At 34.9% G+C, this 16543-nt stretch overlaps 1 protein-coding gene and 1 pseudogene across 4 annotated transcripts in view, besides 1 other annotated feature; one reads left to right on the top strand and one right to left on the bottom strand.

Annotated features, from left to right (window-relative positions):
* Window positions 1-16543, top strand: part of DNAJC1 (DnaJ heat shock protein family (Hsp40) member C1) — a 247183-nt gene that overhangs the window by 61243 nt on the left and 169397 nt on the right. For all 4 annotated transcript variants that reach the window (NM_022365.4, XM_011519614.4, XM_047425628.1 and 1 more), the window contains exons 2-3: window positions 13347-13448; window positions 13936-13982. In NM_022365.4, coding sequence (NP_071760.2) covers window positions 13347-13448; window positions 13936-13982 — 149 coding nt within the window. The remainder of the gene's footprint in view (window positions 1-13346; window positions 13449-13935; window positions 13983-16543) is intronic.
* On the bottom strand, window positions 9107-9345 carry RN7SKP37 (RN7SK pseudogene 37; annotated as a pseudogene).
* Window positions 10263-10763: an enhancer, noted in NCBI's record as "H3K4me1 hESC enhancer chr10:22220654-22221154 (GRCh37/hg19 assembly coordinates)". NCBI's record gives its function as "activates a minimal SCP1, AML or CMV promoter by ChIP-STARR-seq in naive H9 embryonic stem cells {active_cell/tissue: H9 hESC(naive)}" and the evidence as "EXISTENCE:reporter gene assay evidence [ECO:0000049][PMID:30033119]".

The raw sequence follows: 16543 nt of genomic DNA, 5'->3' as shown, positions 1-16543 counted from the left end.
CATAAACACCTCAAAGTGTTTTAAAAATTATTATTCAAATTCTCTATAATTTTGCTTATTTTTTGTTTACTTACTATGTCAACTCTGGTAAAGGTATATTAAAGTATTCTGCTGTGATTGTTTTTATCAAGTTCTATTTAGGAGTTTTGCTGTTATGTGAATGAATTTGGAGTGTTTAGAACATAAGGGTTTATGACTGTTTTAACTTTTCAGTGGATTAGACCTTTTATCATTACTTATTACCACTCTTTGTCCTATTACTTGCTTTTGACCTTTAATTCCCATTTTCCAATGTTAATATCAACACTATTGCTTTTCTTTTGTTTGCGTCTGTTTTTCTTCATCTGTGTTTTCTGCCTTTTTGGTTTTGTTTCAAAGTTAGTTTGTTGATCAGTTGTATTTTGATAAGGGAGCTCAGTATATGTATAGTTAATGAGAAACAAATGCTTGATTTTGTTTTTCCTCTCGTCTGTAGTATGTGTTATACTTCTTAATTTTTCTTTTGTTGGCTTAGTAAAATTTCTATTAATTTGGAAATTTTTATATGCTTTTCTGTTACATAGTGGTTACCTTCTCATCCTTAAAGATGATAATAAAACCTATACTTTTCTATTAATAAATCTAAATCAAATAACAGCTTTTACTTTACCACTTACTTACCCTTCTTGGTCTGCTTCCTCTTCTTTTTTTCTTTTTTGAAAATTCTAGGCCACTATTAGGTTGTCTCTTATGGCATATTTCTTCTGTTTTAAGAATACCTACAGACACATATATTACAAATCACAAATCATAATACTTTTGTATTTATTGTTCACTATTTATACTTTTTTATTATGAAAAACTTAAAACAAACAGTAGTAGAGAGAATAGTTTAATGAATTCCTATATTAATCATCACTCATTTAATAATTATCATTTTCCTATATTATCCTTTTTTTGAAGGATTTTAAAATGAATATCAGACATTATGACATTTTATTCCTGAGTGCTTCACTGTGCATCTCTTTAGATAAAGAGATATTAAATACCCAGGATACTATTATCCCATCCAATATAATGAATAATTCCTTAACAGCGTCTAGTAGCAGTCTTTATTCAGATGTCCCTAGTTGTCACAAATCTGCCTTTTTACTCTGGTTTAATTTGAATCAGGGGCCATACAAGTTCCATACATGACATTTGGTTGTTCTATCTGTTTTTTTTTTTTTTTTTTTTTTTTGAGACAGTGTCTTGCTCTGTCGCCCAGGCTGGAGTGTAGTGGCGCGATCTCGGCTCACTGCAAGCTCTGCCTACCGGGTTCCCGCCATTCTCCTGCCTCAGCCTCCCGAGTAGCTGGGACTACAGGCACCTGCCACCACGCCTGGCTAATTTTTTTTTTTTTTTTTTTTTTTTGTATTTTTAGTAGAGACGGAGTTTCACCGTGTTAGCCAGGATGGTCTCGATCTCCTGACCTTGTGATCCGCCCGCCTTGGCCTCCCAAAGTGCTGGGATTACAGGCGTGAGCTACCGCGCCTGGCCAGTTGTTCTGTCTCTTAAATCTCTTTATTATAAAACTGTCTGTCCTCTCTCTCTTTCTCCCCCTGCCATTGACTTGTTAAAGGGACCTCCTTTTCAAGATAAATCAGTGGCAAGATTTAGTCTAAGATCTAGTTACCAGATTATAGAAATGATGATTTTGTTCTGTGGATAGTTGGTCTGATGTTCCTGCCAACTCAATTCCCCCAGTAATTAGATATCAGAAGCAGCTGTCTCTTGAAGCTGCAGTCTTTTGTTTATCTATATTTTGGAGAACGCTTACTTTTTTAATCTTATGGAGAGGACAGAGGTGTATCCAACTCAAATAAATGTGTTATTAATCTAAATTTATTTAGATACTAGTTTAAAATAGGGGACATAATGTATTCCTAAAATAAAGGAGCAGAATACATCCTTCTACTGTGCTCGAAATTATTTTCTTATTTGTCAAGAAATCATTCTTATTGACCTTGACTCTCAAAGAATAATAAATGTTCTCTTATCAGCAACCAGGATTTGGTATAGATTAACCTTATCACTGGTTAGTATATATAGTTTAAGGCTAAGAAAATCAATTAAAGTTATAATCTTACATAAATTTGAATACATCTCTCCAAAGGCAGTTGACTTTAACAGTGATCTATTATGGAGAAACCCAAAGCCTCTCCCTACTTCTTTTGTAACATATTGGCCATAGAAGCCCAGACTTAAAATTTATCATGAAGTAAACTATATTATTGTATTTATTATTTTTATTTGCCCTGGAAAATTAGTTTTTATTTTGAAACTTATTTCTAAAGCATTTTCTTTTTTCTATTTATTTTAAATTTTATATGCATCTGGTATAAAATCCTATAATCCTGAAGATACTGTGATGAATCCAAGTTTCCTGCCTTATCCTCCTGATCCACTCACCAGAGACAACTTCCTTTAAATCTCTCTATTATTTAGTCCTTCTAGTGGTGAATGCACTTGTATACACACACGTTTGTTTTGGCTTTTTTGCTGCTTTTTTTTTTTTTTTTTTTTGAGAGAGGTTTGGGGTGGGGTGAGAAAGCTGTGTTGACTGCTAAATTTACATGTGAAGGTCAGAGTAAAGAGGGCAAAGTCATTAGTAAGAGTTTAGCTTGAGCTTTTAATCAATAAATCAGATACGAAAATGACCCAAAGACCTAGTGAGAAAGATTACATGGAATTACAGTCAAGTACTGCTTAATGATGGGGATACATTTCGAGAAATGCATCGTTAGGCAATTTTGTAGTTGTTCCAGCATCATGGAGTGCACTTTCACAAACCTAGATGGTATAGCCTACCATACACCTAGGCAACATGGTATAGACTATTGATCCTAGGCTACAGACTTGTACAACATGTTACTAAATACTGCAGGCAATTGTAACACAATGGTATTTATGTATCTAAACATAGAAATGGTACAGTAAAAATACAGTAAAAAGATTTAAAATGGTACTCCTATATAGGTCAGCTCCATTATAATTTTAGGGAACCACTATCATATATGCAGTCCATCATTGACCAAAATGTCATGCACTGCATTGACTGTATTAACTTTGAGGCAGTTGGTCTTGATTAATAACACTATACAAATTAAGGGTCCCAGATGTCAATTAGAGTTTGAAGTTCCTAAATATAATTTGGATGAATGTTGTCTTCCTTCCTCAGTGAATCTGATAGCCAGGTAGATTATCTTCCCTTCAATTTAATACCCCTGAGTCTTTTTCAAGGGAGTAGAAGTTTCATTAAGAAGAGTTTACTTTGAGCGGGCCGGGAGCGGTGGCTCACTCCTGTAATCCCAGCACTTCAGGAGGCTGAGGTAGGTGAATCACGAGGTCAAGAGATCAAGACCATCCTGGCCAACATGGTGAAACCCCGTCTCTACTAAACATACAAAAATTAGCTGGGCGTGGTGGCACGTGCCTGTGGTCCCAGCTACTGGGGAGGCTGAGGCAAGAGAATCTCTTGAATCTGGGAGGCGGAGGTTGCAGTGAACTGAGGTCACACGACTGCACTCCAGCCTGGCCACAGAGCGAGACTCCGTCTCAAACAAACAAACAAACAAAAAACAAACCAAAAAAAACCTGAAGAGTTTCCTTTGGTCAGATCCTGGATAAGATCTTTTGGTTTTGGTTTTGGTTAACTAGCCAAATATTTTTCTACTACCTGGCACACCTAAAAATGTGGGTATCACATTTGTGGAGACACTGTATAAATAGAATGAGTTTTAGATTATTGTCAATCCATTGATTAAAATCAGGGTCAGCAAACTACAGTCCTTGGGCCAAAAGCAGCCACTACCTGATTTTGTAATAAAGTTTTATTGGAACACCACCATACCCATTTGTGTATGTATTGTCTGTGGCTGCTTTCTTACTACAATGGCAGGATTTAATGGTTGTAATGAAGACTGACCCACAAAGCCTAAAATATTTACTGTCTGTCCCTTTACAGAAACAGTTTGCCAATCCTTGGTAAAAAATAAAATAAAAAATTTCGCTTGAGTCACCTAAGGCAGATTTTTCAGTGCTATTACGTAGCAAAACTTAGGATAGCAACCATGGAAGGTATAAAGTTAGGTTGAGATTTTTCTTCTTCTTTTTTTTTTTTAAGTGTGTTTATAACTGTAAATTTTCTTCTGAGCACTGCTTTTACCACATCCTACGTTTTGGCATGGTATGTTTTCGTTTTCATTCGTATCCTTCTCTAGAGATTTGTTTTTTACTTTAAAAATTAAATATCGTGATTTAATTTTATTTTTCCTTAATCCTCAGTTGTTTTAAATTAGAAAAAATAGTTATGATTAACTATTAACATTAATGAATTAAAATCTTCCAGAAGGAATGAATCCAAAAAGAAATATCTAACGGGTAATGAAACCCTGATATTTTATGGCCTTTCCTATTTTAGTCTCAAACATTCTAAACATAAAGGAAGAAAGAGCTTTTCAGTTTTATTCTTTTAAAAAGAGTATAGGCTTCTCTCCTGCTAGTGAGGATGGTCTTCTAACACATTCACAATTATCTTAGAGACAACATAATGGCACGTTCATTCATATTACAGTAGTTTCTAATTTCCTTTTTGATTACTTGTTGTTTAAAAATGTGTTGTTTAATTTCCACATACGTGTGAATTTTTCAAATTTCCTTTTGTCATTGATTTCTGATTTCATTTCATTATGGTTGGAGAAGATAACGTAGTATGATTTCAGTCTTTTTAAATTTATTGAGACCAATTTAATAGCCTAAAATAGGGTATATCTTGGCTAATATTCCTTATGCACTTCAGAAAAATGCGTATTCTCTTTTGGGGTGGAATGTTCTATAGATGTCTGTTAGATGTGTCTAGTTGGTTTATACTGTTGTTCAAGTTTTCTGTTTTCTTACTGTTCTTTCTGATTGTTCCAGTCATTATTAAAAGTGGAGTATTAAAGTTTCCGTTATTATAGAATTGTCTATTTCTCCTTTCAGTTCTGTTAAATCTTTACTTCATGTATTTTGGGGCTCTGTTAGGTGCATGTTTATGTTATTTATATTGTTATATCTTCTTGATGGATTGACCTTTTTGTCGTTAAATAATGTCCTTTGTCTTTTGTAACAATTTTTGTGTTAAAATTGATTTTACCTAATATTGGTATAGCTACCAGCTCTCTTTTAATTACTGTTTGCAAGGAATATCTTTTTTCATCCATTCACTTTTGATCTATTTGTATCTTGGTTCTAAAGTGAGTCTCTTATAGACACCATGTACAGTAAATCCTCTCTTGCCATCATCAGTAGAGTCTTAGAAACTACCACTTGCAGTAAGTCTTTAAATAGCATCATTTCCTTCAATGCTGTTTCATTATAGCATGAAAAAAAATTTTCATTATATGTCATTTTACTTAAAGTTGCAGTTTCTAAGAACCTGTCAGTGACCTTAAGTGAGGACTTGCTGTGATGGATCATGTTTGTTTTGAATTCATTCTGCCAATATCTGCATTTTAATCAGACAGTTTAACTCATTTAATTTTAAAGTAATTACAGATAAGGAATGACTTACTTTTGCTATTTTGCTATTTGTTTTCTGTATATTATATGTCATCTTTGTTCTCCAGTTCTTCCATTACTACCTTTTTTGTATTCAGTTTTTTTTCTAGTGTACTATTTTATTCACTTTTCATTTCTTTTACTGTAGATCTTTATATTCTTAGTTTTTGCCATGGGAATTACAGTTAACATCTTAATTTATAGCAATCCAGTTTGGATTAATACCAGTTTAGTTTCAGTCACATAAAAATATTTTGCTAGAATGTGAGATGCAAAAAGGAAAAATTTTAAATTAATTTTACAAAGAAAATAAAAAATGTTGCTCCTATAGCAAGCACTGTTCCCTATTCCTTGTGTTGTTTATTGTCACTCTGCACTCCAGATTACATTTTTATGTATATAATGTCTGCCATAGACATAGATTTATATTATTTGTTTATGACAGATTTATAATTACTGCCTTATGTAACTGTCTTTTAAATCATGTAGAGTAAAATTGAAGTTACTAACCAAAATGCATTAATAATGACTTTTATATTTATCTATGTAGTTACCTGTTTTAGTCTGTGCTGCTATAACAAAATACTTTATGCTGGGTAATTTATAAACAACAGAAATTTGTTGCTCACGGTTCTAGAGACTGGGAAGTCCAAGATCAAGGTACAACATATTCACTGTCTGGTGAGGGCCCCTTCCTCATAGATGGTCCCTTCTATGTGTCCTCCCAGGGCTGAAGGGCAAAAAAGGGACAGCTCTATGGGACATCTTTTACAAGGGCACTAATCCCATTTGGCCTAATCACTTCTTAGAGGCCCCACCTCTTAATACCATCACATGGGGGATTAGATTTCAACACATGAGTTTTGGAGGGATGCAAACATTCAGACCACAGCATTATCTTTACCAGTGTTTTTTATTTCTTTGTTGTGATTTGAATTACTGTCTAGTATCTTTTTCTTTCAGCTTGAAGGACTCCTTATAGCATTTCTTATAAAGCATATCTACTAGCAATGAATTCTAATTTTTTAACTGGGATATCATAATTTATTTTGTTTTTGAGGGATAGTTTTGTTGGATATAGACTTCTTGGTTGATAGATTTTTTTTTTCATGTTAATTTACTACCATCTAGCCTCCATAATCTCTGATGAGAAATTAGCTGTTAACTTTATTGGAGATCCCTTATACATGATAAGTTGCTTCTTTTGCTGCTTTCGGGACTCTTTCTTTTAACATTTTGATTCTAATGTTTCTAGGTGTGGATCTCTTTAGTTTTCTCCTACTTGGGGTTTGTTGAGATTCTTAGATATATAGGTTTATGTCTTTCATCAGTTTTTGAAGTTTGCTGTCATTTTTTCTTCAAATATGTTTTCTGCCCCATTTTCTGTTTCTTCTCCCTTTTGGAGATCCATTATGTGTTTGTTGGTACTTTTAATAGTGTTCCACAGGTCTCTTAGGCTTTGTTCATTTTATTCATTTTTTTCCTTTCTGCTCCCCAGATCAGGTAATCGCTATTGATCTAAGTGTTCATTGATTGTTTCTTCTGCCTACTCAAGCCTGCTGTTGAGCCCCAACTAGTAAAATTTTCATTTCAGTTATGTATTTTGCTAGTCCAGAATTTCTGTTTTGTTTTTTTAAAGTCTATTTTTGTTGATATTCTCAATTATGTGAGACATTATTCTCATATTTTCCTTTAGTTCTTTGAACATACTCTTTAAGCATATTTAAAATAATTGATTTAGAGTCTTTGCCTAGTAAATGCAATATGTGGACATCCTCAGGGATAATTTCTATTAATTTTTTTTCTCTGAAGACCATACTTTCCTGTTTCTTTCCATGCTTTATAATTTTTTATTGAGTATTAGACATTTTAGATATATATAATGTGGCAGTGGTATTTTCTACTTTCCTAGAGGTTTTTGTTGCTGCTTATTATAGTTGGTGTTGTCTAGTGACTTTTCTGAAATAGACACTTTTGTAAAGTTCATATTCTGTGCTGTGTATGGCCACTAGAATTTCTCTTCAGTTAGCTTAGAATCTCTGGTCAACTAATGATTTGACAGATATTTTCTTAACAGTTGGAGCCAGAAGTATATAGTCATGCATTGCTTAATGACAAGGATGCATTCTGAGAAATGCATCACTTGGCAATTTTGTCTTTATGTGAATATCACAGTGTATTTATACAAATCTAGATGGTATAGCCTACTGCAAACCTAGGCTATATGGTATAACCTATTGCTCCTGGGCTACAAACCTGTGTAGCATGTTACTGTACTGAACACTGTAGGCAGTTGTAACACAAAAGTATTTGTGTATCTAAACATATTTAAACATAGTAAAAATACAGTATAATAGGTACAAAATGTACTTGTATAGGGTATTTACTATGAATACATCTTGCGGGAGTGGAAGTTGCTCTGGGTGAGTCACTGAGTAAGTGGTAAGTGAATGTGAAGGCCTAGGACATTTCTGTACACTATAGTATAAACACTGTACACTTAGACAACACTAAATTTATTAAAAATATGTGATCTCTTCAACAATAAATTAACCATAGCTTACTATGTAACATTTCTACTTTATAAACTTTTTAACTTTTTGTAATAACACTTAGCTTAAAACACAAACTCATATATAGCTGTATAAAAATATTTTTATATCCTTATAAGCTTTTTTCTATATTTAAAATTATTTAGTTTTTTTTTTTTACTTTTTAAACTTTGTTGTTAAAAATTAAGACACAAACACACATTAGCTTAGGCCTACACAGGATCATGATCATTAATATCACATGTCATTTAATTGGAAGGTCTTCAGGGTCAGTAACATGCATGGAACTGTCATCTTTTATAACAATGCCCCTTCTGAAATACCTCCTGAAGGACCTGCTTGAGGCTGTTTTACACTTTATTCCTTCTATAATTTTTTTTAAATTTCCCTCTGAAATAACCATAATAGTATAGTAAATACATAACCCTGTAACATAGTTGCTTATTATCATCAAATATTATGTACAATACATAATTGTATGTACTATACTTTTATACAGCTGGCAGCACAGCAGGTTTGTTTACACTAGCCTCACCACAAACACATGAATAGATACATTGCACTGTGACATTAGGAAGGGTAACATGTCACTAGAAGATAGGAATTTTAAAGCTCCATTGTATTGTATTCTTATGGGACCACCATCATATATGCGATTCATTGTTGATGGAAACATTGTTATGTGGTGTATGACTAAATATAAATGAATAAATAATATATATAGTTCCAGTGTTTGCCAGTAGACTGTGTATATCTTGGGGCCATGCCTTCCACACTCAGTTGGGCAGTTTACATCTTTCTTAGCTTCAGTTTCTGCTTGTGCAGAGCCTGAATATCAGCCAGAAGTGAGAACTTAGAGCCTTCTCAAGTCTTTCTGAGCATGTGCTCTGTCCTGGGCATGCACATGGCCATCTAGTTTCCAAGGAATATGTAGGAGCTTTGAAAGCCCTTAGTCCCCAAAGCATGTCACTTTTCAGTCTGTCTGCCCAAGCTTTTTGAGAGCTTGTTTGGAGGTTCTAGCAGGGGAGCACAGCTACTTGTATACCCTTGACTGAAGACTGGTCCTCCTCTATCAGGGATGGTTGTCCTCTTGGACCGAGCATGCAGCTTCGGGAGGGGCACACATGGAGCAGTGAGGGAAGAAGGGGACACCCGCCTAGCCAGCCAGATCAGCTGAATCAACCCTGGCGATCAGTGGGGTGACAGATGTCGCAGCCAGATCCCCCTCACATCCCCAAGCTTTTTGATAATCAATTAACCTTAGCTTACTATATAACATTTCTACTTGATGAACTTTTTAATTTTTTATCTTTTTGACTCTTTTGTAATAACACTTAGCTTAAAACAGCTTTATAAAAATATTTTTGTGTCCTTTCAAGCTTTTTTCTATACTTATAGAAACAATTTATTATATTCATTGTTTGCCTCAATTGCTACCCCTTACCCCATTCAGCACTGGCTAATACATTTGCCTGTAGGCCAGGCATGGTGGCTCATGCCTGTAATCCCAGCACTTTGGGAGGCCAAGGAGTTTGAGACCAGCCTGGGCAACATGGCAAAACCCTGTTTCTACAAAAAATAAAAATCAAATAAATACATTTGCCTTTAAATGTTTACGACAAATGGCCTATCTGCTCTGGCAGAGTTCTGAGTGTGGCAAAATAAAAGCAAGCCCTTTACACAGTTTAAGCCAACAGAGAGGTCAAAACAAAATAACCACAGCTCTTTGAGAACAAGGTCAACTCTGATCTCTCTGGCACCAGGAACCTAACCAAGGCCTTAGGTTGGCATCTTTAAGACACTTAGTGAGAATCATCTTTCTCTTAAGTGCTTGCCTAATTGCTGTAAATTTTGACAGGTTTTTAGAGATCAGATAAAGTTGATTCTGACATTTTTTTGTCAGGTTATTTTCACTGTTTCTCTGGAGGGACGAACTTGGAGTTCCCTAACATGCTGTTTTTTGCTGACATGCCATTGCATTGTTTCCATTTTGATAAGCTTACATTATTTTCAGGGTTTGTTGTTGGTGTTGTTTTGGAGACAGGGTTTCACTGTGTCACCCGGGCTGGAGTGTAGTGGTGCAATCGTGGCTCACTGCAGCCTCAACCTCCTGGGCTCAAGTAACACCCCCACCTCAGCCTCCCAAGTAGCTGGGATTACAGGCACATGCCACCACACCCAGCTAATTAAACAATTTTTTTTTGCACAGATGGGGTTTTTCCATGTTGCTCAGGCTGGTCTCAAACTCTTGGGCTCAAGTGATCTGCCTGCCTCAGCCTTCCAAAGTGCTGGGATTACGGGCGTGAGCCACCACACCCAGCCTCAGAGTGTTTTTTCGTTTTGTTTTGTTTTTGTTTTTTTTCCCAAAAGTGATGATACATTTCTTCTTCATAGAGGTCACCTGACTGTTAAAATAATTCATGGTTAGCTTGCCAAAGAGCCATATCACATTTAGAAGGGAAAGAATTCTAACAGATGAATCCAGTAGATCTAATATGAAAAGAGTTAAAGATAGCCACTTCACTCACGTGCTGTCAAAAAATTTTCACTCCAAGCTGGAGAGATAAAACATCTAATCCAGTGAATATGGGAGATGAATGTTCTAACATTCAGGCCTCTAATAGAAATGTGATATCAAATGTATTAGACAAGCCAATACGTACCAGGGTTTTTACCTTTAAAGCTCCAATGGAACATATTCACATTGTAGTTATGTGGACATGTTCCATATAGTTTATCAGGTCAAGGATGTAATAGTTGTTCTCACTGCCTTCCCAAAACTGTCTCATTGGGAAGTTACTCAGCCCAAATCTGAACCTAAACAGCCAAAATAAAGAGATCTGATTCTGAAGCAATATTTTCTGAGTTTGAATTCATCGAGTACCTAATATTAAATAAATACATAAGCTAGTTTGAAGTACAACTTATCTAGAGCATGTCTTTGTAGATAAGAAAATCTTCATGTTTTTCACCGTATCTACTTGAGGTAGAATTTATTGGCAAAATAACTCAACTGGATAGATTCTCAAGAGGAAAATAGTCAGGCAATATTTGTGTATAAGAAACAGAGCCCTGTTCCTTAGAAGAGAGCTGTCTGTATCTGTAGCTGGGTGAAAAACAACATGACATTGGTGAACTGTGTATCCTAAGGTGTAATAATCTGGGGGACCAGGAGGATGAGCCAAGAGGGTGGGAGATAAGGCTAAAAAAATTGGAAAACACCAGTGACAAAGGCACCTGGTAGCTGCTCAAGGGTTTAGAGTAGGAGAGCCGTCTGACCACATTTACATTTGGGGTACATATGGTGGCAGAAAAATGGAGGATTGGGGGATCAGAATGGTAAGACTGGAAGCAGGGAAATGCCTTAGGTTACTATTAGTTGTTTTTATTTTTAAGTAAGAAATGTTCTGTAGTGAACATGTATTAATTTTGTAATAGAAAATACATAGCTATTATTTTGTATGAAATATACTTGTGGAATGGTTTATTATATAGTCCCAATTTAAAAAAATCTACAATTAAAATCCCAATTAGAGATTGGTTATTCATTTGACACTTGATGTCTTTGCTCAACAATAGGATTCATCACAGATTTTCATTAAATAATCATTTATTTCTACCACATTATCTGTAGTCTATGTAGGGAACATGTCAATTTTATTAAGCAAAGTAGAATGAAAATTACAACCATGTTACCTGCAGTACTTTAGTTAATTTTTATAGCTCCTCAGCCTTCCACAAGTCACAAAAATACTCACACCCTGGGTAACATACTAGTCTGGAGCAACAAGCCCCAGAAAACTGATAATAAAAATAATGGTTTATAAAGACAAGCCTGACAGACTAATTATAGCCTCACTTTGTCTCTCTCCAACTCTATTTAAAAACTATTGATAATATTTAGTCCCAGGTATATAGATTTTTTGTGTTGGTTTGGTTTGGTGTTTTCATCATTTGAACTTCTTAATAGTTTTTGGAATTAATTAGACAGTCAGCTATCAAATGAGAGACATTTAGTAAGCAAGTTTACTATCATTTTGCCCAATATTAATATGTTATTTTAATACACTTTAAGTTTAATACAGATCAAGTTTTAAACCCCAGCCAGGCGCGGTGGCTCACACCTGTAATCCTACACTTTGGGAGGCCGAGGCTGTTGGATCACTTGAGGTCAGGAGTTCGAGACCAGCCTGGCCAACCTGGGGAAACCCCATTTCTACTAAAAATACAAAAATTAGCTGGGTGTGGTGGCGCATGCCTATAATTCCAGCTCCTCTGGAGGCTGAGGCACAAGAATCTCTTGGACCCAGGAGGTGGAGGTTGCAGTGAGCTGAGATTGTGCCGCCGCACTCCAGCCTGGGTGGTAGAATCAGACTGTCTCAAAAAAAGTTTTAAACCCTACTTGACAGTGTATTCTTTGTTATTATTATGCATTTTATACTGGCCATGTAAAAATGATGTTGTCTGATTTTACCTGTGCACACAGGATTATATAAAATGTAATTTTAATATCCACTTAATCTAAGTACTGAACCACGGTAACCTTTTAAATATATTTAAACTATACAAGTAATACATAAATATTGGGCAAATTTATTTGTATGAACCAGACTGAGGAGGCTGGCCAACATTGAAAATACCCTTTAAAGTACTAAGTAAATAAGTATAGTATATTTAACTCTTTCTAATGATAATAATTTTTGATAAATGCTAATTTAACTCCCTTCAGATAGGCATGCTTTTTGACATGTGAAAGTGAGATTCCATAGGTTGTTGCTGAGATGATAAACTCAATATAAATAATAGAGAAACCATATGGTTAGCCCGGGATTCAGAAATTGGCTTTAACATTTGCCAGTAAATAAAGAGTTTCTTTGAAGGCACACCGATGTATTAATTTTTAATTTGTTTCTTTTTGATCTCTTAATTACTGAAAAAGATTTATTGGTTAATTTTAGGAAGGCAAGTGTTTGAAAAGTTTCGCCAAATACTGTCTTCTTTAAATGACTGTATGGTAATGAAAAGTTAAGAGGAGAGCCAAATTAGATTGAATAATTGTTCAGTCATGTGGGTCAGGCTTGTTGCATAGCCTGGTTGTTAAGACTGATTGCTCAAATTACATTGCCTGGGGTCCTGCACTTGGTTGGCTGTCTTCTCAGATCTTAACAAGGTTCTGGGAATTTCTTTTTCTGACAAAGTTTGCTTTGTATTTTCCCCTCCCCCTACCACCTCCAGGATGCATCATCTGCAGACATCAGAAAAGCATATCGTAAGCTTTCACTAACTTTACATCCAGACAAGAATAAAGATGAAAATGCAGAAACTCAGTTTAGACAAGTAAGTGAAATATGCTATTATATATATATTTTGTGACAAATGTATTAACATGTCGATGGTAGAAATATTCACTTATATATGGAATATTTTCATTTGAAAATGAGGTAGTAGTTTAAAATATAGTGTATATTTTTTTTCAAGTTTCTACAAAATGCATTTTTACTATTTTGTATTAGCATCTCTAAATTCTTGGAGGGTCATAATTGTCATAATTTTCTTGTCTAAATTACAGCTTTTGCTTCTAAATGCACATTTTAAGATAAGTATTACTTTTGTAACTGTCACAAAGATTTATTTTGATATCAAGCATTTTTAATCTCTTAAGGTACTACCAAAACATAGTGTTACTTATAAAGGAGATTTCATCTGTTTATTGTATATATAGGCACATAGGATTTTCTGCATGTGTATTGTAGTGCCTTCACCCTCCTATGTGATTTCTTATAGTTGAGAGTATTTTTATTTTAAAGTAATGCTTTTATTTTAGTTGGTGGCCATTTATGAAGTTTTAAAGGATGATGAACGAAGGCAGAGGTGAGTGTTCATTTCTGCTTTTGAATTAAGATGTTATAGTTTCATGCTACAGTTTATAAAGAATTAAGTCTTCTTAAACATTTTATTATTATGTTAGCATTTTATTTTTGTTCCTTCCGAGAAATGCAGTGTTTTAAAAATGTGTGTTTGAAGCAGAGTTAATTTTATTGAAAGTATTCACTAGATTGATTTGATACATACAAGCTTCAGGATTTTGAGTCATAATGTTAGCAAGTCCGGGCTTCCTTAATACGACTTTTAACATGAGTGTTTATGCCCTGGGAGATACAAATACTGCCTGAATTCAAATAAATGTCCATTCCTTCCCATATGTCAGTAATAGCTCCTATCTGTGCCTGATGCTTGGTGCTTTTCCCCCCCATTCCTTAAATGTTTGAATTAGACTGTAGTGATAGTCAAGTTAGTACTCTTTCTTGATATTTCCTCACTCTCAGAATAACCCAGTTATATAAGCTTCTGTAAGCCTGTAGAAGAAAGAAAACTTTGCCTCTTGCATCTATTTCTTTTGCCTCCTTCCCTTCCTTTACTCTGCTCCGGCAATTCTGCATTCAGGGTTAAACTTCAGAGTGGAGGTAGCCCCTCACTCTAAGACTTCTCTGTGCCCCTTTCAGAAGACTGGCAATATATTTATGTAGTAGTTTATAATGCCAGTGACTTAAGAGGAGATTACACAGAGGCCCCTTTCCTCTACTCCTACAGAATGTATGGAATGTAGACATCATTTCAGCAGCCTTCTAAGTTTTTTAAGTCAGACCACAACACATACGCACACACACACACATAACTAAAACAATAGTTTCACAAGATATTTCTTATTGCATGTTAAACACATTATTTTCTATTCTAGGCTAGACTAGTCTTTTGGTGTTTTTTATTTATTTATTTTTTAAAAATGTTGGTTGTGGTTCACTAAATTCATTTCATGAGACACTAGTGGACCACAATCCAAAATTTGAAAATGTTCTACGATACAAGAGTACCTGTAAAAAACAAAACAAAACAACACCTGGCTATTTGACATTTAGGCAAAAGCCAGCCTAAATATCTGTGTCCTTCACTAGGGGGGTAATACATCTCCAGACAACCCTATAAATTGTGCTATGTTACATTCTGAATCTTTCCTCAAATGTATTATCTGGAATTAGTCTGTATCCTAAAATGTTAGCTACCATTCTTGATTCTCATCTTAACCGTTTAATTTGAATACCTCTGCTTGTCAGATTGCAAAGCACAGGGATTCAAGATCTTCTCTTAAAGTGTTCTTCACTTTATAACAAGGGCTGGCATTGGTCCAGATACCATAGCAGACATTCCTCTGGTTTGAGATAATCCATAGTGTTGAAAGAGTCCAAGAAGCGTGTTGAAAGAAGTTTTGGTCATTCTGTGCATATTTTCTAGTTGGTTTCTCTGTGAGCCCTAGTTTTGTTTCACACATCAAGAATGTGCCTGTAAAGGTAGCTTTATTTAGTTTTCTAATATTTTTGGCTTGAGGTTTTTTTCTTTTTGTTTGTTATCTTAAAAGTCAATAAACTTTGTAATTTCTTTCAGTTACCAAAATTATTTCTATCTTTTCAAAACAAATCACTTCTCATATATAAATTGTTTCTTCATTAACATGGAATCATCTATTAATAAATAACATCATCTCTTCAGGATTAGTTCTCTCATTTATTTTAGACAGTTGATAGAAAAAATGAATGTGACAGTTACACAAACAGCTGTAGTATTTATACCCCTTGAGGCACAAGTAACTCTTTGGTAACTGGTTTTCCTTGAGGCAAAAGTCTTAACTAATGAAGCTAAGAATCACTCCTCTAAAGCTTGTGCCTGAGGCCAGGTGACCTATGAGTATTTAAACATACAGGAGACAGACATCTCTGCAGACAATTACTTAATGTTTATAATTCCTTTAGGAAAAAAAAGAGCACAGTCAGCATTATCTTCTAAAAGAAGATTATCTACATATTGATATGAAAAAATGCATTTTGGTATCACAGTTATTTACTATAAATATTCATTAAATAATACTTTTAAATGTGTAACCTTCCAGGAATTGGTAATTTGGGAAATTGTCATAGACATGTTTCCTATTTATTTCCCTTTTATATAATTGTGTTTTCTCTGAAATCAGATGCATTATTTGAATTTTGCTGGAAAAGGGAATAGCAGTTAAATTGATAAATTAACAAACCAAATAACTTTTAGTTAAAAAAAAAAAAAAAAAGGAAAGGCTGGCTGGGTACAGTGGCTCACATCTGTAATCCTAGCACTTTGGGAGGCTGAGGAGGGCAGATCCCTTGAACTCAGGAGTTGGAAACCAGCTTAGGCAACATGACAAAACCTCGTCTCTGCAAAAAATACAAAAGTTAGCCTGGCGTGGTGGCACATGCCTATAGTCCCAGCTACTCAGGAGGCTGAGGTGGGAGGATTGCTTGAACCCCGGAGGCGGAAGTTGCGCACTGTGCTTAGCCTGGGCGACACAGCAAGACCCTGTCTCAAAAGAAAAAGCCAGTTTTGTTTGATTTTTTAACATCCTTATT

Source organism: Homo sapiens, chromosome 10, assembly GCF_000001405.40.
Source record: "Homo sapiens chromosome 10, GRCh38.p14 Primary Assembly".
NCBI lineage: Eukaryota > Metazoa > Chordata > Mammalia > Primates > Hominidae > Homo > Homo sapiens.
The sequence above is the reverse complement of the archived record's forward strand: the minus strand, read 5'-3'. Positions and strand labels throughout refer to the sequence as shown.